The sequence below is a fragment of the Homo sapiens genome, chromosome 17 (genome assembly GCF_000001405.40).
Source record: "Homo sapiens chromosome 17, GRCh38.p14 Primary Assembly".
NCBI lineage: Eukaryota > Metazoa > Chordata > Mammalia > Primates > Hominidae > Homo > Homo sapiens.
Genome location: NC_000017.11, coordinates 57,910,531 through 57,932,943, shown reverse-complemented (window position 1 = coordinate 57,932,943; position 22,413 = coordinate 57,910,531). Strand labels below are relative to the sequence as shown.

General features: G+C 49.2%; 1 protein-coding gene and 1 long non-coding RNA gene across 6 annotated transcripts in view, besides 2 other annotated features; one reads left to right on the top strand and one right to left on the bottom strand.

The window, feature by feature from the left end:
- The window catches only part of CUEDC1 (CUE domain containing 1), a 94,170-nt gene that overhangs the window by 22,469 nt on the left and 49,288 nt on the right, over positions 1-22,413 (top strand). The gene's annotated exons all lie outside the window — the stretch shown is intronic.
- Positions 5,217-5,732: an enhancer, noted in NCBI's record as "OCT4-NANOG-H3K4me1 hESC enhancer chr17:56004573-56005088 (GRCh37/hg19 assembly coordinates)". NCBI's record gives its function as "activates a minimal SCP1, AML or CMV promoter by ChIP-STARR-seq in naive H9 embryonic stem cells {active_cell/tissue: H9 hESC(naive)}" and the evidence as "EXISTENCE:reporter gene assay evidence [ECO:0000049][PMID:30033119]".
- On the bottom strand, positions 16,628-20,766 carry CUEDC1-AS1 (CUEDC1 antisense RNA 1). Its single transcript, XR_001752948.2, has 2 exons — positions 20,463-20,766; positions 16,628-17,928 (listed from the first exon to the last, which is right to left on the bottom strand). It is a non-coding gene; the product is annotated as a CUEDC1 antisense RNA 1 (long non-coding RNA).
- Positions 18,626-19,126: an enhancer, noted in NCBI's record as "H3K4me1 hESC enhancer chr17:55991179-55991679 (GRCh37/hg19 assembly coordinates)". NCBI's record gives its function as "activates a minimal SCP1, AML or CMV promoter by ChIP-STARR-seq in naive H9 embryonic stem cells {active_cell/tissue: H9 hESC(naive)}" and the evidence as "EXISTENCE:reporter gene assay evidence [ECO:0000049][PMID:30033119]".

The following is a 22,413-nucleotide window of genomic DNA, read 5'->3' as shown; positions in this document are numbered from 1 at the left end:
TACTCTCTAGCCCAAATGTCAATAGTGCCTAAGGTTGAGAACCCTTGCTCTAGCGCCTGGACCAGACTTTTTTTTTTTTTTAAGACAGAGTTTTGCTCTTGTTGCCCAGGCCAGAGTGCAGTGGCACAATCTCGGCTCACTGCAACCTCTGCCTCCTGGGTTCAAGCAATTCTCCTGCCTCAGCCTCCCAAGTAGCTGGGATTACAGGAGCCTGCCACCACGCGCAGCTAATTTTTGTATTTTTAGTAGAGATGGGGTTTCACCATGTTGGCCAGGCTGATCTGGAACTCCTGACCTCAAATGATCCAACCACCTTGGCCCTCCAACAGACTTTTTTTTTTTTTTTTTTTTTTTTTTTTGAGACAGAGTCTTGCTCTGTCACCCAGGCTGGAGTGCAGTGGCGTGATCTCTGCTCACTGCAAGCTCTGCCTCCTGGGTTCACAACATTCTCCTGCCTCGGCCTCCCGAGTAACTGGGACTACAGCACCCGCTGCCATGCCCGGCTAATTTTTTTGTATTTTTAGTGGAGATGGGGTTTCACCATGTTAGCCAGGATGGTCTCGATCTCCTGACCTCGTGATTTGCCCATCTCGGCCTCCTGAAGTGCTGGGATTACAGGCGTGAGCCACCATGCCTGGCCTTTTTTTTTTTTTTTTTTTTTTGAGACACAGTGTCACTTTGTTGCCCAGGCTGGAGTGCTGTCGCGCGATCTCGGCTCACTGCAACCTCCACCTCCCGGGTTCAAGAGATTCTTGTGCCTCAGCCTTCCGAGTAGCTGGGATTACAGGCATGTACCACGACACCCAGCTATTTTGTGTGTGTGTGTGTGTTTTTAGTGGAGACGGGATTTCACCGTGTTGGCCAGGCTGGTTTCGAACTCCTAACCTCAGGCGATGTGCCTGCCTCAGCCTGCCAAAGTGCTGGGATTACAGGCATGAGCTACCACTCCCAGCCTAGAGATGCGTTTTAAGCAGAATTCTGAGAGAGGGAAGGACACATGTGGGTGAGAGGAGCAGGGTGGGGGCATCGTGTAGGGAAGCAGCACATGGCAGGGTTTGGAGGTGGGAGAATACGATTTGATTTTTGCAAAGGAGAAAGAGGCTCGTGGTTTCACGGGAGTCCTCTGCAATCCAGAGGAGGCTTTTCAGCCGGATCCTCCCTGGATTCGGGACTGTGTCTTATTGAGACACCTTTGGTTGGGACATGAAGTCCCTCTGACTGTGTTCCTTTGTGTGTTCCTAACCCTCAGGCCTTTCTTGGCCCTGTGTGAGTAAAGAGAAGGAGATCTGTCAGCCACCATCAACTTGAATACCCAGTCTCACCCTCGGACTGGCTTTCCCTGAGTCCATGCATATGTGAGAGCTTCTGCCCAGGAACTCTCTTTCCCCCCACTGCAGGAACAGCAGTGCCCTTTGACTTAGTTAATGCCCTCATGACCCCTTTTTTGCTTATTCCCCACTTCTTTAGAGGAGGGTAAGGAGAAGGCCCCAGCCTGTGCCTCTATGCCCACTTCCTGACAGTGCCCGGCATGTGGCAGTGGCTTCATCAGTGTTTTTGAATGAATGAGCGACTGCCCGGAATGAATGGGAGATCTGGGGTTTTTCCTGCGAATTGTACCTCTCCCTCTTTTTTTGTTTGTTTCTTTTTTCTTTCTTTCTTTTTTTTGAGACAGGATGTCACTTAGTCACCCAGGCTGGAGTGTGAACACAGCTCACTGCAGCCTCGACTTCCCAGGCTCAGATGATCCCACACTTCAGCCCCCAAGTAACTGAGATTATAGGTGTGTGCCACCACCTCCAGCTAATTTTTGTATTTTTTGTAGAGACCCTGTTTTGCCATGTTGCCCAGACTGGTCTCGAACTCCTGAGCTCGAGTAATCTGCCTGTCTCAGCTTCCTTAAGTGCTGGGATTACAGACAGGAGCCACCACACCCGGCCAGCTCCTTTAATAAGTCATTCAGTCCTTGTGCCAGAAATGGAACTAGGAGAGACTGAGGTTGGCACTAAGGAAGAAGGTCTTTAGTGTCCTTTAGTGTCAAGAATTTCCAGGGAGTAGAGCAGGTCATGAGAAGGTTACCTGCAGGAAATGGGGACCATTTCCCCTTTGGAGTTGGACTGTTTGTGGCTCTTTCTGGCTACAGGAGCGGTCACAGAGGGGTCATTTCTGCCCTCCTGTGTTGGCCACAGCACATCCCTTCCTCCCAGGCTTCCAGCTCTTAGATTTCTCAGCTTTCACGATAGATGTGGATATCTTCTTTTTAAGAAGTAGAAAGTGCTGTCCAAACACACGTGTGTAGTGATTCTCCCAGGCCATCACTGTTGGAGACCCAGCTTCAGTCTGGCTTGAGCAGAACCAAAGAAGTGGGCACAGTTTTCTCAAAATCCTCCCTCCTCTTGCTGTGGTTGTGGGTAGCGTTCCTCGCAATGTTTGCAAGTGCTTCTGAGCTGCTTTTCTCTGCCTTCTGTTAAACCCCTGGGACGGAGAGGGCTTTGGTTTCTGACTCAGGATAAAAGGGCCCCTGGGCATCCCAGACTCAGCCTGGAGTTGGGGAAAGGTGTTTGTAAGGGCTACCTTCTGGCCTCCTCACAGCCAGTGCTAACTGGTGAGCCTTTGCTGGAGTCCGACTTGTTTGCCAGGTGGAGTTCACAGCATCAGCCTCGTTGGCTCTGGTCTGCTTGTGCAGTTGGAGACTTGCTACCCAAAGTCAGGTCCCTAGACCAGCAGCGCTGACATCACCTGGTTAGAAATGGAGAATCACGGGCCCCACCTTGAACTTCCTGAATCTATCTACATTTTAACAAGGTCCCCAGTGGTTCGTGTGCACATTAAAGTCTGAGAAGTGGCCGGGCGCAGTGGCTCACGCCTGTAATCCCAGCACTTTGGGAGGCCGAGGCGGGTGGATCACCTGAGGGCAGGAGTTCGATACCAGCCCGACAAACATGGTGAAACCCTGTCTCTACTAAATACAAAAAAAATTTGCTGGGCGTGGTGGTGCCTGCCTGTAATCCCAGCTACTCGGGAGGCTGAGGCAGGAGAATTGCTTGAACCTGGGAGGCGGAGGTTGCAGTGAGCCAAGATCGCGCCACTGCACTCCAGCCTGGGCAACAAGAGCGAAACTCCGTCTCAAAAAAGAAAAAGAGAGAGAGAGACAGACTGAGAAGCGCTGTGCTAGAAGACTTTGGATGCTGCAGGGACAGCTGGGGACGTGCTGAACCTTGTTTGAGTGTCTTGTATGACCCGTCTTTGCAGTGCTTTAAAACAGTGCTTCTCAAAGTATCTGAGGTGAAGGACAATATGCTCTATTCCTTAGTTCAGGAACCGATGAGCATGACCAGTCTGAGCCAGTCTGAGAACATCCAGACTGGTCTATACCCTGTTCTAAGAGGGAAGTCCACAGATCACATGCTTGGATATTGTGCTAAGGTCAGATTGCTAGAAACATTTTAAAATCCTTCCTTCCTTTCTTTTTCTCTACTTATTTGGTAAGGACCCACAACTAACAGTTTGTAGGTGGTCTGTGGACATACTTTTAGTGGCCCTGGTCTAGAGCCCTGTCTTTGGGGTCAGATAGATCCAGGTTTGAATCCTGGCACTGTCACTGACTTGCGGTGTGTTCTTGGGCGGCTGTTTAACCTCTCTGGGGCTTAATTTTGTCATCTCTAAATTGGAGATGATAATGCCCCTGCCTCATAGGGCAGGGGTGAGGATTAAATGAGATAAGTTTGGGTAAAGCTTATCGTTAAGAGCCCAGCACACAGAATTTGGGCTTGATAATATTGGGTGTCAAATGTTGGCAGCAGCATCATTGTCATTGTTTGCTGTCTTGGAGCATCTGGAAATGAGGACAATGGCCTCAGTTAAGGAACACCCTTGTTTTTAGACAGACGGTGGCCTTTAAAACTGTGGCAAATTAGTATGGAATGGAAACTTTTTTTCCCCGCCTGCTAATTTCTGATAGTTTGGGGCTGCCGTAATGAATTATTTTTCTCAGTGTGGATCCAAGTAAAACCCAGGATCAGAATTGGGACAATGTTGGAACTTGTTTTTAAGTGATGGAAAGAAGTAATAAACACAGAGTAGGAAATCCTTTAATCCCACAGGACCTGACTCTTAACCCTTTCCCTCCCGCCCCCCACCCCGAGTTTATATCCTGGATACTGTCTCCCAGGCAGGCTGGGTGGACTTTCAGTGCCAGGTACCTCTAATTCTCGAATGCCAGTATATTCTCCCTTTCTGGAGAAACTCAAGTTGCCCTCTTCGCTATTTCTTGATAGCAAAGAGGTTGCGTGAAAACGTAGAGGACTCAAATCGGAAGATCTGTGTTCTAGAATGTACTTCACAAGGCATCGGAGGGTTGTTACCTTATTAGCCCTAGGTTCTTTTTTTTTTTTTTTTTTGAGACAGAGTCTCACTCTGTCGCCCAGGCTGGAGTGCAGTGGCGATCTCAGCTCACTGTAAGCGCCACCTTCTGGGTTCACGCCATTCTCCTGCCTCAGCCTCCCGAGTAGCTGGGACTACAGGCACCCGCCACCACGCCTGGCTAATTTTTTGTATTTTTAGTAGAGATGGGGTTTCACCGTGTTAGCCAGGATGGTCTCGATCTCCTGACCTGGTGATCCGCCCACCTCGGCCTCCCAAAGTGCTGGGATTATAGGCGTGAGCCACCACGCCCATCGGCCCTAGGTTCTTAAGCTTTTTTCCGGTCCCAGATCCTGTGGATAATCTAAAGAGAACTTTGACACCCCTCCCAAAAAGCATAGGCACACACAAACACATTAAATTGCATTCGATTTTTGGGACGAGGGGTTCCATAGACCTCACAGAAATCTCACAGAGCCTTCGCTAAGAACCTTGTGCCAGGCTGTAAGCTTCACAAGGCGTGTTTCCACTGCCCAGTGACTACCTGAGTGCCCTGTGGCATAGACTAGGGGTTAAATACACAGGCTTTGGAGTCAGGGTGCCAGGGTTTGAATCCTTCCTCTGCTACTTGTGGGCTTGTTAACCTTGGGTACAGCTATTTAGTCTCTCTAAGCCTCAGTTTCCCCATCTATAAAGTGGAGGAAAGAACAGTACCGACCTTACAGGGTAGTTGTGAAGTTAGATGGGATAATATTTTTAAAGCTTACATTGCATGAATTGTTTTGCCTACAGAATGTCCATTGCCATCCAGAGGAATCTCATGTTGGTAGCAAGAACTTGCACTGTCTTTGTTGCAGAGCAACAGGTTATTGGGCTGTGGGTTAATGTGAGGCTTTCTTTGGATGAGTGGGGTTGGGGGGCAGATCCCCTGACATACCTCTTGGAAATTTGAGGGGTTGGGAGCTTTGGAGCAGGGCTCCTAGAAGCCTGCTAAACCCAGCTGCTCCTATTCAGTAATTTCCATGTGCTGTTGTTGATTTTGGCTTCAGGCATGGAGAGCCCTGCCTTGGGAGCTTCCTTGAAACTGGATGCCCCAACCCAGAGGGTGTGGGCAGGAGGGAAGCCTCAATGAACACTGGAGAAGCAGACTTTTTTTTCTCTCTCTAACTCTGGCTTTTTTTTTTTTTTCTTTCTCCCTAGGCTTTCTGCAGCAGCCCCAGCAATTACCAGGAGTGTTAACTGGGGTCAGGGCAATGGCAGGGCTTCTGGAGACTCCCGGGGGGAGTGGGGAGGAGGAGGAAGTGCCTCTCAGGCACCCTGGAATGAGGGCTTCACCTCCTGCTGCCCAGGCCCGCCTGCCCCTGGATGCCCTTTTAAGTGAGCTGCCCAGAAACCCATTGGCACCCTCCATAACAGCCCCACTCTCTGTCCCAGCCGCTCGGTGAGAATGGCAGGGAGTTAAAGGATTCTAAACATTGGCCCCCACTGAGCCCTTAATTACATTAACACACAAAGCAGCAGGGCCGGCCATCCCTACAAACAATTGCCGGCCTGTTTCCCCCAGCTGCGCCTCCCTTTCATCTGGGCCTCTTTCTCAGAGATGCTGGGTTCCAACCTCCCTACGTTTCCTCCTGTTTCATTGGTTTTGTCTCTTCCTTTCCCTGTCTGAGTCATTCCTTTCCCGCTTTGGTCCAAGAGGCCCGGTGTGGCACCAGCCGCTGAGCCCCATTTCCTATGTTCCAGAAGCAGCCCCATAACTCTGTTTTATGGTGGATACATGAGTGGTTTGAAAAGAAAAACGATGTGGTTATATTTTTGCCTCTAATTTGCATATTGTCCTGAAAGAGAAGCAAAATGCCTTCACTTTATAATGACTTCCCGTGCATCTTAACCACACTTTCCATTTGTTTAGAATTTGACAGCTTTAAATTTATTTTTTATTTTAAAATTTGTAAATAGAGACAGGGTCTTGCTATGTTGTCCAGGCTGGTCTTGAACTCTTGGCCTCAAGTGATCCACTCACCTCAGCCTCCCAAATTGCTGGCATTACACAGGTGTGAGCCACTGCACCCGGCCAGAATTTGGTTGTTTTTAGAAGTCCCATCCCATACATTTCTCACCGATCTGTAAATGTTTTGATGTAGTATCTAGGATGGGAATCACACCTATTTCAGGGGGTGAAGGGGCTTGAATGGGGACAAGATCCGGCTAGTCTGACTGCTAGGCCAATGCTCTTTCCTCCTGCCCACCTTTTTGGCTTGGTGTGGGCCTTTTTCGGTCCTCTCCAGTGTCTCAGCAAAATGCCAGCAGCAGGAGGCCATGCAGAGGCACCTTTGGTGATGGTGAACTTGAGCTCCTTGCTATGAGTGGCAGGTGAGGGACCCCTGGAGAACTGGCATTTCTCACCTCTGCACTTGACTCTGCCCCTCTCGCAACTTTGAGGGATGAATACGTCACTTTTTCCATTCCAGTATTGGTGGGTCTCTAACATTTCCAGAGAAGGAAGTTCTCTAGTTATCCCCATGTTCCAGGGTCTCCTGGCACAGGGCCCCTGACCCTAGGATGAGGACTTCCCAGTAAGCTGGGCTTGGGGCCTCCCCACCCAGCTTGGGGAGCCATCAGGCCTGCAGCCCCAGCCAGACCACCCTTGCCACCTCTGGGCCAACCACAGGTGGCAGAGGACAGGCGGTCAGGTGAACGCTGAGCTCGAGAGCATCTTTGCTGGCAGTACCAGGCCTGGGTAAGGGAGGACGGCCCTGTAATTAGTGTTCTTTTAGAGACAGCTGCTGTGGCTCCTTCTCTTTTGACCCTCTTCCTCCTTCACATTTGCACATGGCTTAGGGACCTGCCATTCTCCCTCATTCAGGCAGGCATTCCCAGGAGGCTCCTGTGCCCCAGATGGTGAAGCTTATCTCTTTTATATCCTCATGCTTGGGGGTGGCGGCACTGGCAGGGATCTTCGTCTGCTGGGGGTCTCTCAGGGACACTGGACCCTGCAGCGGCAGCTGTCTTCTGTCTCTTTGCCTGGGGCAGAGCACCTGAGCAGGCTGTGTTTCACTGCAGTGTCTTTGCCAAACTTCTTTAGAGCACTCTAAGGGCTAATGGGCTTTTGGTTATGTTCCCTGGAGAACTTCTGCCCCTTGGGAAGGGTACCGCACTGGCTTGCTTGTTTAGGTGTGACCACAGCAGAGCCCGAGGGCCTCTAGATTACAGCTGTGCCTGTCCCATCTCATTGCTCGGGGCTGCCTGGAGGGGTTTATTCCATCCCAGCAGCTCTTCATCCTGACTTCTCAGTCACACGGATTTTAGTCAGAATGTGTTCCCCTTGCCCCCTGGGTAGTTTACATGCTCGTTAAAGAAAAACTGGAAAATGTTTAATTTCCAGTAAAATTGATCATTCTGATAATTTCAGTACTACGGCTGAAAACATTTGGTTATATTTCCCTCTGTTCTTTTTTTTTTTTTTAATGTGCACAAGTTTTAAAAACTAGTTGTGATCTTACTGATTTACATACCTTTGAATCTAGCTTTTTGGTGTAACACTACATAATGAGAATTTTTAATGGAACGGTGTGGTTTTAAACACTCTTTTAAGTGGCTGTACAGTGTTTCATCCTGTGGCTCTGCTATGCTGACTATTGTTGACACCCCCTCCCCTCCAAACTCATCTTTATTTTAAGCCTCAGAACTTTATGGAGCGTGAAAGTCAGGAGCCATTTGTTTGGGTTCTCTTGGTGTAATATTAATCCAGAGTTGGGGCCTCTGCCAAGGACCCTTCTTGCCAAACTGCTAGCAGGAGGGACCTGGCTGTGGTACAGGCCTGGGGCCTTGATGGGACAGCGGCTTCTAGCATGGCCTCTTCAGCCCTTGGCTCCATAGAAGTGGGACACTCATTTGAGCGCCCTTTGACAGCTTCAGGAAGCTTCCTGTGGCTTATACAGGGGTGGGGTGATGGGACCCAGGCTCAGATTGGCTCTCGGTGCCCATCAGTGCATCGATAGAGTCTCATTCCCTGGGCCTGGGGCTGGGTGCCTTGCTTAGCCACGCAACACACGGGATAGACACCACTTCCAGTTCTATTGATTTACACACTTTTCCCTTTCTTCTCTGCCCCAAATGAAAGGGTAAAATGAGTCGCAGAGATTAAGAGTTTTGAGCAGCAACGTAAAGAAGCCGGAAGAGGCCCGGCGCGGTGGCTCACGCCTATAATCCCAGCACTTTGGGAGGCCGAGGCGGGCAGATCACGAGGTCAAGAGATCAAGACCATCCTGGCCAACATGGTGAAACCCTGTCTCTACTAAAAATACAAAAATTAGCTGGGCATGGTGGCGTCCGCCCGTAGTCCCAGCTACTTGGGAGGCTGAGGCATAAAAATCGCTTGAACCTGGGAGGCGGAGGTTGCAGTGAGCTGAGATCGTGCCACTGCACTCCAGCCTGGCAACAGAGTGAGACGCTGTCTCAAAAAAAAAAAATGCAGGAAGAATCGGAGCACAGTGGTGTGTGCCTGTAGAACCAGATACTTGGGAGGCTGAGGCAGGAGGATTGATTGAGCCCAGGAGCCCAGCCTGGGCAATATAACAAGACCTCATCTCAAAAAAAAAAGTAGAAGTAGGAAGTATTGGACAGGCTTTAGTTACATTTCTGGCTCTGTCCTGTGTAAGTTCCATTGTTACTTATCCATCGAGCCTGTTTCCTCATGTGTACAATAAAGATGATGATGCCCGCCTTGCAAAGTTGATGTGATGTTCAAATGAAAATATTTATGTAACATTGCCTGGCACATAGTAGGTGTCCAGTCAGTATTGTTTTGTTGATGTTCAGGGTCACAAAATGCACCAACCTCAAAGCCAGAAGGGCCTGCCACCCAGCGCCCCACCAGCTCTCGTTTCACAGGAGCCCATCAACTGTGCCTTTACTTTGCCAGCTCCTGGTGGGAAGCTTTCCTGGTTGGCTGATCAGAGAAGTCTGGTTGACCAGAGTTGCCATTGTTTCAGCTCCTTCTGGCTGGGACATCCAGCCAAGGCAGGCCATGCTGTCCTATACCCTGCTTATCTGAGTGAAAGTGACCAGGGCCCTTGCCTTCTGACTCTCCCTTGGATGATCTTGAGACGGCAGCTCTACGTGAAAGCAGGGTGTGGCACCATGGTTAATTTGCTAGTGCATCTTTGTGGCCACACTTGTCTGCAGCTCTTGGTAGAACCCAAAAAGCCAACAGGAAGCCAAAGAGAGAGAGAGTCACCTGAGGACAAGCTTTGGTTCTGAGTCTTCATGCCCTAATCTGAGGTCATATAGTTGACTGTCTGCTTCCAGGAGGCAGTGCACTCTAGCCTGGCTGGACAGAGATTCATGTAACCTTTCCAGCCATCTGCCCAACACCTTGAGTTTTGGGTGCCATGGACCAGTGGCATTGGCATCACCTGGGAGCTAGTTGGAAATTGTAAACAAAAAATAAAATTCACAGCCAGATGCAGAGGCTCATGCCTGTAATCCTAGCACTTTGGGAGGCCGAGGTGGATGGATTGCTTGAGCTCAGGAGCTTGAGACCAGCCTGGGCAATGTGGCAAGGCCCGTCTCTATAAAAAATCAAAAAATGAGGTGGGAAAATCGCTTGAGCCCTGGAGGTCAAGGCTGCAGTGAGCCATGTTCATGCCACTGTACTGCAGCCTGGGCAACAGAGCAAGACCCTATTTAAAAAAAAAAAAAAAGAGAGAGGGAGAAATTCCCTGGGTGATTCTAATGTGCAGCTGGATTGCAGAACTGATTTAGACCCCTGTCTTTGGGATGGATGGTCTGGAATGACAGCGATCATGATGGTAATAGTTGCTGTTTATTGAGCTCCTGCTATGTAGGAAGAGCTTTATCCTTATTTGTAATCTTCCTTTTAAACTGAAAGGTGGTAGCACTCTTCCTGTCTTTCATATGAGAAAAATGGAGGCTCAGAGAGGTGAATCCAGTCACCTAAGGCCACTTAAATAGTGAATCTGGAATTGTCTGCCCCGAGGCTTCTTTTGCCATTACTTTACTGTAATGAAAGCTCATACTGGTTTAGACAGGTCTGGTTCTCCATGGAAAATCTGGCTGAGGATTCTCTTCTCGGTCAGTTTCAATGATACTTTCAGAGTATGTGGTTTTAGGATTGTTCTGTTTGAAGAAAAGCACAGAAACTTTTAATCCCCAGATTCATGTCTCCTAGAATGAACAGAGGGGGGAGGTCAGTGACAGACAAGTTGCAAATGAGTGGTGGACAAGTCTTGAGGAAAGGAGGTTATTTCCAAAGGTCATAGAGGAAACAGGGTAAAGAAGCCTGGACTTTTGGGCCAGAGAACCCCACCCAACTGTGTTTGTTTTAAGCCGGCTATATGAGTTTGAGCAAGTCACTTTATCCCTCCATATCCAAACTCCACACCCTCCAGATGAGCCAGGGGTAACATTTGCTGCTTTTTCTGCAGATCTGATCTCTTTTTGTTTTTTTGAGACAGAGTCTGTCTCTATTGCCCAGGCTGGAGTGCAGTGGCGTGATCTTGGCTCACTGCAACCTCCACCTCCTGGGTTCAAGTGATTCTCCTGTCTCAGCCTCCTGAATAGCTGGAACTACAGGCACGTGCCACCATGCCTGGCTAATTTTTGTATCTTTAGTAGAGACAGGGTTTCACCATGTTGGCCAGGCTGGTTTTGAACTCCTAACCTCAAGTGATACGCCCATCTTGGCCTCCTAAAGTGCTGGGATTATAGGTGTGAGCCACTGCGCCTGACCAAATCTGACTTCTAAGATACAAAGTGGAAAACAGAGGCAGTGGTGAGAATTGAGCCGAACCACAGACCCCAGGTCTTTTGCTCTAAGAGCAGCTGAGAGGTAGCACTGGAGACAGGTGCTGGTAGAAAGCCATGAAAGCAAAGGAGAGGGCAGCCACTGCGCCCAGACAGGAAGCACACAGAACCCTGGGACAGAAGCTCCCCAGCCCTCGTGAGCCTGCAGAGAAACCGGGAGAGAAGCACAAAGCAAATGGGCCAGACATTGAGAAATAGCCCTTTCTTTTCATGTTTTGAACCACGTCCAAGCCTAACTTCTAAGTTCGAATAAGGATTTGAAAATCAGCCTGAGGCTCCCACGGAATCTAAATCCAGGTTACTCCGTATATCTTCCTTATAAAGTCATGGGATATCTGTGTTTGGGGAATGGAATGAGTGAGGGTGAATGTTTCACTGCTTTTTTTTTTCATCTCTTTTCTTTTCAAGAAAACACTCGGCCGTTGCATTGCCAAGCACCTTGCAGTTCACAAGGAACTTTTATGCCTTTCACTGCATTGTTGGTCCCTGAGAGGGGAAGGGGGTTCCCCCCATTTTATAGCAGAGGAAACACAGGCCCGTGGAGGAGAGCCTCAAGATCGCACAGCAAATCAGGGGCAGAGTCTGGACTGTTGTCTTCCAGCTCCAAGCACAGCACTCCTTTTGTTCCACCAATATCTCCCTATTAACTCGCTACCTTGGCTTTCCACAGTCAGAGGCTGGATAGCTGACAATAACCTTGGATAGACGGAGCTCATAAAGTACAACTAATTCCCAGTGATCTGTACATGTGTTTTAAAACATACTTTCCTTTTAAATTGTATAACCTATATACAACTATACTCTGTTTATTAAACATTTCAGCTGGGCATGGTGGCTCACACCTGTAATCCCAACACTTTGGGAGGATGAAGCGGGCAGATCACCTGAGGTCAGGAGTTCAAGACTGGCCTGGCCAACATGGCGAAACCCTGTTCTCTAATAAAAATACAAAAATTTACTCGGCATGGTGGTGGTGGGAGCCTATAGTCCCAGCTACTAAGGGAGGCTAAGGCAGGAGAATCACTCAAACCCAGGAGGTGGAGTTTGCAGTGAGCCGAGATTGCACCACTACACTCCAGCCTGGGCAACAGAGCAAGACTCCATCTCAAAAAAAAAAAAAAAAAGAAAAGAAAAAGAAAATTCAGATAATAAAAAGCCTTCTTTGGCTCCTCCTAACAACCCCCCAATCCCATCCCATTTCTCAGAGGTGACCACTGATGACAGTTTGATGTGGATCCTCCTAGCCCTTTTCTAAAAATGCATTTTGCATGTGTTGCTGATGGATTATTATAATCCCTAACCATCTTGCTTGCTTTAATTGACAGCTGTGTGTGTGTGTGTGCATGGAGAAAGCAAACATAGTAATATTACCTTCAGCAAGATAAAACCAGGATGGTAAAATTAGCCAGACTAGAGGTTTAAAGCAGTGATTCTCAAACTTGGATGTGCATATGAATCCCTCATAGATTTTGCTAAAATGCAGATACTGATTCAGTTTGTTTGGAGTAGCTCCTGGGATCCTGCGTTGCTAATAAGGTACCAGTCTCTGTTGATGCTGCTGGTCTCAGGCTGCACTTTGAGTAGGGAGGGTTTTTAGAGCACAGTCACTGGAATCAAAAAGACCTACTGGGCCCTTAATTGCTAGCTGAGTGAGTTGAGCAAGTCTTTAAGCTTTCCATGCCTGTGGATCAGGAATAAGAATGGCATCTTTCCTGCAGCGTTGTTGTGAAAACAAAATGAGCCGGGGCCTGTGAAGCACTTAGTCCAGTGCCTGGCACATAGTGAGCGCTCGATAAATGTTAGTTATTAATATTGTCTAGAGACAAATACCATCAATTTGTCCAAGCCAAACAGAAAACGCTTGCTGGTTGGCTATTACTGGGGGCTGTTTGTGCTGAGGCACTTTTACCTTGTTCATTTAATGTCCTCCTCGTCATCAGGATTTTGAATATATCTTGTATGGTATTATCTCCATGTACTTAGGGAGAAACTGAGGCTCAAGGAGGCTGGGTGGCTTAACCTTCTGAGCCACACAGCTAAGAAGTAGCAGAAATAAAGTTACACCCAGGTTTCAGGTCTAGTGCTTGTTGTATACATTGCAGCTGCCTTGTCTTGAAAACTTACTATGTGCATGGCTTAGTGGGTTTGTCGGTGTGGGAGCTTAAGCCTTTGATCATGGCTCCAGGGAAGGAAAGCAACAGGCTTCAAACTTCTTTCACTTGTACACCTCAAAAGAATTTTGAACAACTGTGTATCCCCTCATATATTAAAAAATTGACATATATCGCCGGGCACACGCCTGTAATCCCAGCACTTTGGGAGGCCAGGGAGGGAAGATCACTTGAAGTCAGGAGTTCAAGACCAGCTTGGCCAACTTGGTGAATCCCTGTCTCTACTAAAAATACAAAAATTAGCCAGGCATGGTGGTGCCTGCCTGTAATCCCAGCTACTTGGGAGGCTGAGGCAGGAGAATTGCTCGAACCCGGGAGGCGGAGGTTGCAGTGAGCCGAGATCGCGCCATTGTACTCCAGCCTGGATGACAAGAGCAGAACTCCGTCTCACAAAAGAAAAATTAATTAAGAAAACATAAAAATTGACATATATTCCCGGGTGCAGGGGCTCACACCTGTAATCTCAGCAGTTTGGGAGGCCAGGGCAGGAGGATCACTTGGAGTCAGGAGTTCGAGACCAGCCTGGCCCACATGGAGAAACCCTGTCTCTACTATAATACAAAAATTAGCTGGGCGTGGTGGCAGGCGCCTGTAATCCCAGCTACTGGGGAGGCTGAGGCAGAAGCATCGCTTCATCCCGGGAGGTGGAGGCTGCACTGAGCCAAGATCATGCCACTGCACTCCAGCCTGGGTGACAGAGTGAGACTCCATCTCAGAAAAATAAAAATAAAAATAAAAATTGACATATAAAATGTTTTATCATAACTTTAAGTGGAATGTATTTCCAGGCCTATTGTATGCCATCTACTTGCTTCAAATTTATTTTTGTCAAAGCCTTAGAACAGCAAACCCAGCCCAGGCAGTTGTGGAAAACATCCACCATAATTCCTAATTGGCCAGGCTGGATCTTGTGGTTAGACCAGCCAGCCAAATCATACTTTGTGTCGGAAAAACTCTGACTCCTCTTTTTAATTCAAATATTTATTAAACAGGTTAAACAGGTGTCCCTGTGTCAGCTTCCTAATTCTAATCCTAAAATAAACAGATGGGTAGGTAAGATAGATAAGGCCCCCTTCTCAACATCTTAAGGAAGTTCTTTGTCCTGCTGGAACTCCTCCCATGAGGGCTGCATTCTTCCGTTGTCTCTTTGGTGGCTTTTATAACCCAGGGCGGGATACCAGGGTGAGGTTGGGATGACTGGGGGTAGGCCTTTCTTTTGGGAAGTGTTTAGGAGGGCCTTGGTGAGGGGAGAACTGGCAGACCCAGAGGGTTCCCGGCTGATCAGTTTTAGGAAGAAGCACAGGAAGTGGAGCTTTCAGAAGTTGATTCCCTGGAAGCCATCCATGTCTGAATACTTCTGGGAAGTCCCCAGGTTCCCTGAGGGTTTTGCACATGTACTCTGGTGGGAAGACTGTTGAGTAGCAGCCTGGATATCCTACCTAGGATTTTGCTCTGTGGACATTACAGAGCTTGTGGATCTTTGAGACTGAGACTGCTTCTCCCACCAGCTCCCTGGTAACACCTTGAATGCACGCCCCATGTTTCTTCTCAGCTCCTCTCAGTGAGACAGCAGGGGCTCACACTCTAACGATGCCACCTTGTTGAGGGGGTAAACTGAGGTCCAGAACAGGAGAGTGACTACACAGAGCAGTCCATGTACCCCACCAAAAAAGCCAGCTGGCATTCCTAGTGGAGGCATCACAAGGCAAAAAAGCCTTGGGGTGGGTCAGGAGGAGTAGTCTTCAGAGTTCAGCCTCTGCCCCTGCCTCAGTGCACGTCACCTGCATTCTCTCAGCCTCAGTGTCTCTGCCTGTTAAATGAGGCTGATGTGGCAGGTGTTGAGCCTGCTGTTCACAGGCTCTGAAGTTGGGCAGACCTATTTTTGAATCCTAGCTTTGCCACTTACTCGCTGTGTGACCTTGGGTGAGTTATTTACCTCTCTGTGCCTGTCTCCACATCAGTCAATGGGGAGAAGAAAGGCCTCTCTCTCATGGGATGGTTGAGAGGATCAATGAGACAAGTGTTAGTGTCAGGCCCACATGGCATGCTCAGTAAGTATTATTGTTATCCTTGGTTTTTGTTCCCTGTAAGAATTATAGTCAGGAAGAGACTCCGTGGAGTGAAGGCCTGGTTGAGACTCTCCAAGGGCAGGATTGTGTTGGTGCATGGCCTTGCCCCTTCGTCCCAGGATGACCACATGTGCTAAGTGGCACTTAGTATGTGTCACCTGATGAACAATGAGTGCCAGTCAAGAGGCCCTTATGACAGCCTCTGAGCCGCTGCCATCTGCTGGGCCTCTTGTTGTCATCTTCCTCCAACATTCACCCGGGGAGGCATCAAGCCACTGGCCTTGTTGCCCTGGGGGAGATGAGGCTGCCCCCACATTTCCCCATAGCCCAGTGGTTTTGAGAGCACCTGTGTGCCCTGATGGGACCTGTGGCAACCTCAGGGACCTAGTGGGACACCTGTTGCCGCCCATTCTTCTCCACTGTTCAGGTTCCCATGTCCTCCCTATTGGATGGGCCTCAGGCGCTTAGCCTGCTCACCTTTCTCTTCTAAAGTCACCACGTCTCCATTTTCTTGTGGGCCTCTCCTAGGAGATGTTTTATGAACAGAGTCCAGTCCCCACCCCTCCATCCCCTCATCTCTTCTCACAAACTTTCCCCTGGAAGTTACTCCCTTGACCCCCTCCTCCTCCTGCTCAGAGAAGTGAATAATGAAATAAAACAGACAGTGCACTCCAGGTGGGATTTTGCTGCTTGAAGGAATCCCTTAGTCAAGCAAGGAATCCTTTTGTAAAGTAAGTGCTCACTGTGGATTTCCGTCTGGGAGTTTTTGCTTGGACTGGTTCTCGAGAGCGGGGCCCAGGCGAGTTTGTGAGCCTGGGGGTGGGCGAGGCTGCTGGCCTCCTCTCTGTGGCCTGAAAGGGCTCCCAGTGTGGCTTCTAGATCCACTGATTACCTTTCATCCTTCCGCTGTCTTCCTGTCAGGGCTCTGGTCTGCCAGCATCGATCACACTGGCCTGGGAGGTGGTGACGGGTTTGTGTTTCTCCCTGTTTTGTTCCTTTGCTTCCCCGTCGCATCTCCATGGAAACAGGTGCAGCCTTTGTGTTGCCTTTGCTTTGGGCAAATCGATGCCAAGTGGGGACTTCTCTGGACTCTCCACCCCCTCCCCTCTCTGGGATCAAAGTGGGAGGAGGGGGCAGTGCAGGGCCTGACAGGAAGCCTTTTGGGGGCCTGGAGGGCCTGGGGTGGGAGACCCCGCTGCATGGCTCCTGTCCTGGCCTGCCCTCATGCCTCAGGCATCACAAGGCCATCGGGATGGAGCAAGTGTGCTGTGATTTAGAAACACTCTCAGCCCCCCTCGGCCTTCTGCATTCTCAGAGGCAGCTGCTGGCCACCTGGGGCGGGTTGCTGGGTAGGAGTCGGAGAGCTGGCACCAGCTTCGATTCTTTGGTGGGACCTTGAGGGTGAGGCCTTTAACCTTTCCGGCCCTTGGTTTCTCCTGAGAGGTTGGAGAGGTTTTGAACTCGTGAGAAGATGAGGCTTCGGTAATATGACTCCTCTTTTACCTTAAGGAAAACCTACATCTGGGTAAACTCTGCAAAGTTTTTGTCATATGATTGTTCTATGGTGAATACTAAATTCTGTGTTTGATTCAAACGGGTGAGTTGCCTGGCAGGAAATGAAACCTTCAGCTTGGGAGCATGTCTTTAGACTGAGCTCTTGCTTATCATAACAGCCCCCTGAGGCCCCCTCCTCCCCGCCCAGCTTGTTCCGCCTTCCCAGGCTCTTAACAACCTATTAGGGAGCCTTCTGTTCCAGGCCGGAGCTCAAGTGTTGGCCCAAACAGCCGGGGGTAGCAGCAACCCTGCCTTAAGTCCCCGAGGTCCTACCAGCATTTTAGCTGTGGCACGTGGGCAAGGATACCCAGGCCGGACAGGGCTCCCTAAGGCCAGGCGCCAACTTTCTGCCTGAGCTGTTGCTCAGTCCCTGCTGGTTTGATAAACTGCATCATCCAAAACTCATGTGCTAACTTTAACGTAGCCACATTAACCTCATTGATGACATTGGCAAACTCCAAGCCCTGCCCATTCATTAAAAAAAGACTTCATTTTAATATCTGAACGCTATGCCTATCTGCTTGTTAAATTTAGCAAAGGATGTGTTTGACTTTAGATTTTGCATTGTCCACAAGCCTCACTTGAGATGGGAGCTAGAGCCCAGTTGCCTGAGGGGACCTCTGAGCGTGCCTGTGGTGGTAAATGTCAAATTGTCCAGTCTCCTGCCTGCAGAGTGGGCATTTGATGTGGTTGCATCTTTCAGGGATCTGTCCTAGGAAATGAACTTTCTAATACCTCTTTATAGTCAGGAAGTTTTTTTTGGAATCCAACCTAAATCCCATTTTATTTTATTCTGTCTTTAAGAAAGATAGCAAATGAAGAGTAAGAATCCTGAATGCTTTACTCGAAGACCCTTAAATCTCTACTTGGCCTTGGCCAAACACACCCAGGTTTTGAGGGTTGCCTCCTGGCCTTCTCTCCTTCCAGCAGAACAATGCCTGAGTTTCCTGTTGGTAAAACAAGGAGAATAGTAGCTGCCTCATTGGGTTGGTGTGAAAATTAAATCAAGACTGTGGGGACGCACCTTGCCAAGTGCCTGGCATATGGTTCATTTTCAATTACACTAGCTGACTCTGAATAAATTTTATTTCCTGCCTACTTTAATGCCACTCAGAGTTCCTGCTTTTCTTCACAGTCTCTCTTGAGTAATGCACCCAGGATTAGTGGGCCTCCTCCTCCCTGGCCTGATCCTGGACCCAGAGAGGCCAGGTGGGGCAGGTGCAGGCCACATCCCTCTGTTTCTCTCAAACCATCAGGCTAGGAGACTTGGAACCCTTCTCTCTCCCCTGGGAGTCTGGACATGGGAAAGAAAAGCCCTTTCATGCCAAGGCCCCAGATAGCATTATCCCTGTCCCTTTTCTAAATCGAGCTCCAGGAGCTCCCAGTTGGGACTGCTGACTCCCAGACCCTCCCAAATGGATGCAACAGGATCCCTGGTACCTCATTGAGAGAGACCTCCTGCCGAGATATATTGCTCCTCCCTGTGCACAGCAACCTGAACCTGTGCTTTATCCAAAGGGTGAAGTTATGGAGTCACTGTGACCTCTAAGGCACAGGGAGCAAGGACTTCAGAGGTAGCTCCTCCCGACCCCCCAAGGTTTAACTCTTTTTCTCTTTGAAGCAGAGATACCCTGTGGACTTATTTACCCCCTGTGTCTCAGGCTTCTCTCTCTGGCACACAGGACATGCTAATACAAGTATTTGCTATAGTTTTCCTACAGTTTTGAAAAATGTGCCTAGGATAACTGTTTGATTTAAAATCTCCTCCTCTCCCTTTCTTCTGATCAACATAAATAGACATATTCCTTGCCTGCTCTATGCTGGGCACTGAGCAGGTTGTTAGGGACCGAGAACTGAATGAGATCCAAAAAATCCCGCCTTCCAGGTGGGCACCATCTGTTGGGGCCACCAACGGGCACAGTGGCAATCGTGAGAACATGTGACTAGTGCTGCCACATTGATGGTGGAGGAGAGAGAGGGTTCAATAGGCCAAAGCCACGTGGGAGTGAGCCAAGAAGTGCATGTGAGAAGACTTTCTGGAGGAGGAGATCTACAACCTGAATCCTTGAAATAAAGAGTTGCAGTTGGCCAGGGTGAGGCTTCTGGGGCCAAGGAGTTAGAACCCAGGGTCAGGAAAGTATGCTGGGGTGGGGTGCTGGCCAGTGGTGGCCAGAAGGAGGAGTGGCCCAGGACACAGCCATGCATTGTGTGAATCAGCAGGTCCCTGGAGGACTGGTCAGTTCAGACGAGAAGGATGATATTTCCTCGCTAGAAATCCCTGGGATGGGGGGCAGAAATGAGGGGTTGCTCAATGTTGACCTCTCCTCCCTAGAGTCCCTGGGCCCTGTCCCTGCTTTACAGCCCCTGCAGCCTCTGCTCCTCCCTGCACTCCTCTTTGACTTACTTGGGATCTTGGGGATGGGGTTTGGGTGCACCTCAGGAAATTCTGATTCAGTAGAATTGACAAAGACACATGGGCCTTTTTCTTTAAAAAGCACCCCAGAGGCTGGCACAGTGGTTCATGCCTGTAATCCTAGCACTTTGGGAGGCTGAGGCAGGAGTGCTTGAACCCAGGAGATGGAGATAAGTCTGGGCAACATAGTGAGACCAGTTTCTTTTCCTTTTTTTTTTTTTGAGATGGAGTCTTGTTCTTGTTGCCCAGGCTGGAGTGCAATGGCGTGATCTTGGCTCACTGCAACCTCCGCCTCTGGGATTCAAGCGATTCTCCTGCCTCAGCCTCCCAAGTAGTTGGGATTACAGGCACCTGCCACCACGCCCAGCTAATTTTTTTGTATTTTTAGTAGAGGCGGGGTTTTACCATGTTGGCCAGGCTGGTCTTGAACCCCTGACCTCAGGTAATCCACCCGCCTCGGCCTCCCAAAGTGCTGGGATTACAGGTGTGAGCCACTGTGCCCGGAGACACCCAGTTTCTACAAAAATTTGTTTTAATGTAAGCAGCTGGTCCTGGTATGAGCCTGTAGGCCTAGCTACTCTGGAGGCTGAGGTGGGAGGATCGCTTTTGAGCCCAGGAGGTTGAGGCTACGATGAGCTATGACCGCACCACTGCACTACATACAGCCTAGGTGACAGAGTGAGACCCTGTCTCTGAAAAAAGAAAGAAAGAAAAAGGCTCCCCGGAGATTCTGATGCACCCCTCTAGTTGAGAATCAGTGTGCCAGGTAGGCCTGTATACGTTTAGAATTTTCCTGCCAAGGCATTGATGGAGCTTCCCTGAGTGGTCTTTTTGCAGTTTATTTTTACACAGTGGCGTTATTATTGTTTGTTTTTTACTCTCCCTTTATTCTTCCAAACGGTGTCTTTATCATCTTTTTTTTTGGCTTTACTATTTTTTTTAAGTAGTAAATATTAGTAGATAGTGAAACTGAGGCACAAACAAGTAAAAAGTTGTCCAAGATCACAGAGAAACCAACATCTACCTTCCAGAATCTATGATCTCTTCAGCCTGCTCCAAATGTCTCACCTGGCAGAGGGCCTAAGTGTCCGGAACCCCAGATGTTTGAAGAAATGGGACAGGAGTCTGTTCCTCAGACATTTACCGCCTATTAATTAGGAGGTAGTGTCTTCTTGACTCCCTCCAGCGGGTCCCAGGCCTGCCTGCCCGAACATCTGTTCTCCTAACAATGTCTGCCCATAAATCCTGTCCCCGAGTCCAGGGTGGCTTAGCTGGGGAACAATGGAGCCTATGACCGGCAGCCAAATCCTCACCATGGTTACACGAGGGTGTGACTGCAACTGTGTGTGCTTGTTGGCAGGCACCAGCACCTGCAACTGGGGCCAAGGTTGTGTGTGTGTAGCGGTCTCCAGGGCCAGGGGTGGGGGCGTTGGGCTGCGGTTGGGAGGGATCCTCACAGAGCACCTTCTGTAGGCTTCTGCCATTCATGCTGTTGTAATTCTTGGCCTCTGTGAAGAAAAGAGGTTTTTATCTTGCGCATCCTGACATACAGTAGGTGCTCAGTAAGTGTTTTTTGACTGCCAGTGAATGAGCGAGTGAATAATTAGAAGTCTGTTTGTGAATGTCACTGGGGTGCCTGAGAATGAAACAGATTCAGTTCACCTGGGACATGAGGAATGCCTCCTGGTTAATGAGGAATCACTTAAGAAATGTCTGTCCCAGTCTGCCCTTAAGAGCTGATAGGGACGGGCACGGTGGCTCATGCCTGTAATCCCAGCAGTTTGGGAGGCAGAAGAGGGCGGATCACTTGAGATCAGGAGATCACTTGAGTCAGGCCTGGCCAACATGGTGAAATCCCATCTCTACTGAAAATACAAAAATTAGCCAGGTGTGGTGGCGCACGCCTGTAATCCCAGCTACTCGGGAGGTTGAGGCAGAAGAATTGCTTGAACCTGGGAGGCGGAGATTGCAGTGAGCTGAGATTGCACCACTGCACTCCAGCCTGGGTGACAGAGCAAGACCCCATCTCAAAAAAAGAAAAGAAAAAAGAAAAAAGAGAGCTGGTAGGATGAAGGAGAGCCAGCCACACAAGACAGCAGGTGATGAAGTGCTACACTGCCCCTGATTATGGCCGCTAAGTGATCTCCCCATCTACCAAACCACCCTTAAGAGGAACAGGTGCTCTGGAAGGGAAGAGAGAGATCAATATTGGCTGAAGTTCTCAGAGATTGCCTCATGGGACAGGGGAACTTGAGCGAGGTCTTGAAGGATGGACAGGGCTTAGTTAGGGAGACAGGTGTGGTCCCTGGACCAGTGGTGCCAGCATCGCCTAACAACTTGTTAGATAGCAGATTCTTGGACCTCACCCCAGACCCAGGGAATCAGGAACTCTGGGGGTGGAGGCCAGCAATGTGTGTTTAACCAGCCCTCCAGGTGACAGTGATGCTTGCTGAGCATGAGGACCGCTGATGCAGAGGGAGGGATGTGATCTTTACATAAGAGACTGAGGAGTTCGGAGGGGACCTGGCCTGCTCTTCCGTTGGTGGCATAGGGAGAAAATGGGAGGGAGACGGCAAGAGGAGCTTGAAGGCATCAGGGAAGCGGGCTTGGGAGGCTGAGGGTCTCAGCTGGATTGGTGGTGGCCATGGTAACAGAGCAAAGCCAGGGGGTACTGTGAAGGCCTGGTGACACACTGGGTCTCATGCCAGACTTTAAGGGCACTCTTCTTTGAAATGTTTTAAAGAAGACTTGTCACCTCATGATCACATTATGATATGCTAATTGTGGAAAAATATAAGAAAGGAAGAAAAAGGGGGTGTTCACAGAGTTGTACCATCCAGGACAGTTATTGATATATTTGGCATATTTCTTTTCTTTTTTCTTTTCTTCTCTTTTTTCCTTTCCTTTCTTTCCCTTTCCCTTTTCTTTTTCTTTCCTTTCTTTTCTTTTTTTAAGAGACAGGATCTCACCATGTTGCCCAGGGTGGTCTCAGACACCTGGGCTCAAGCGATCCTCCTGC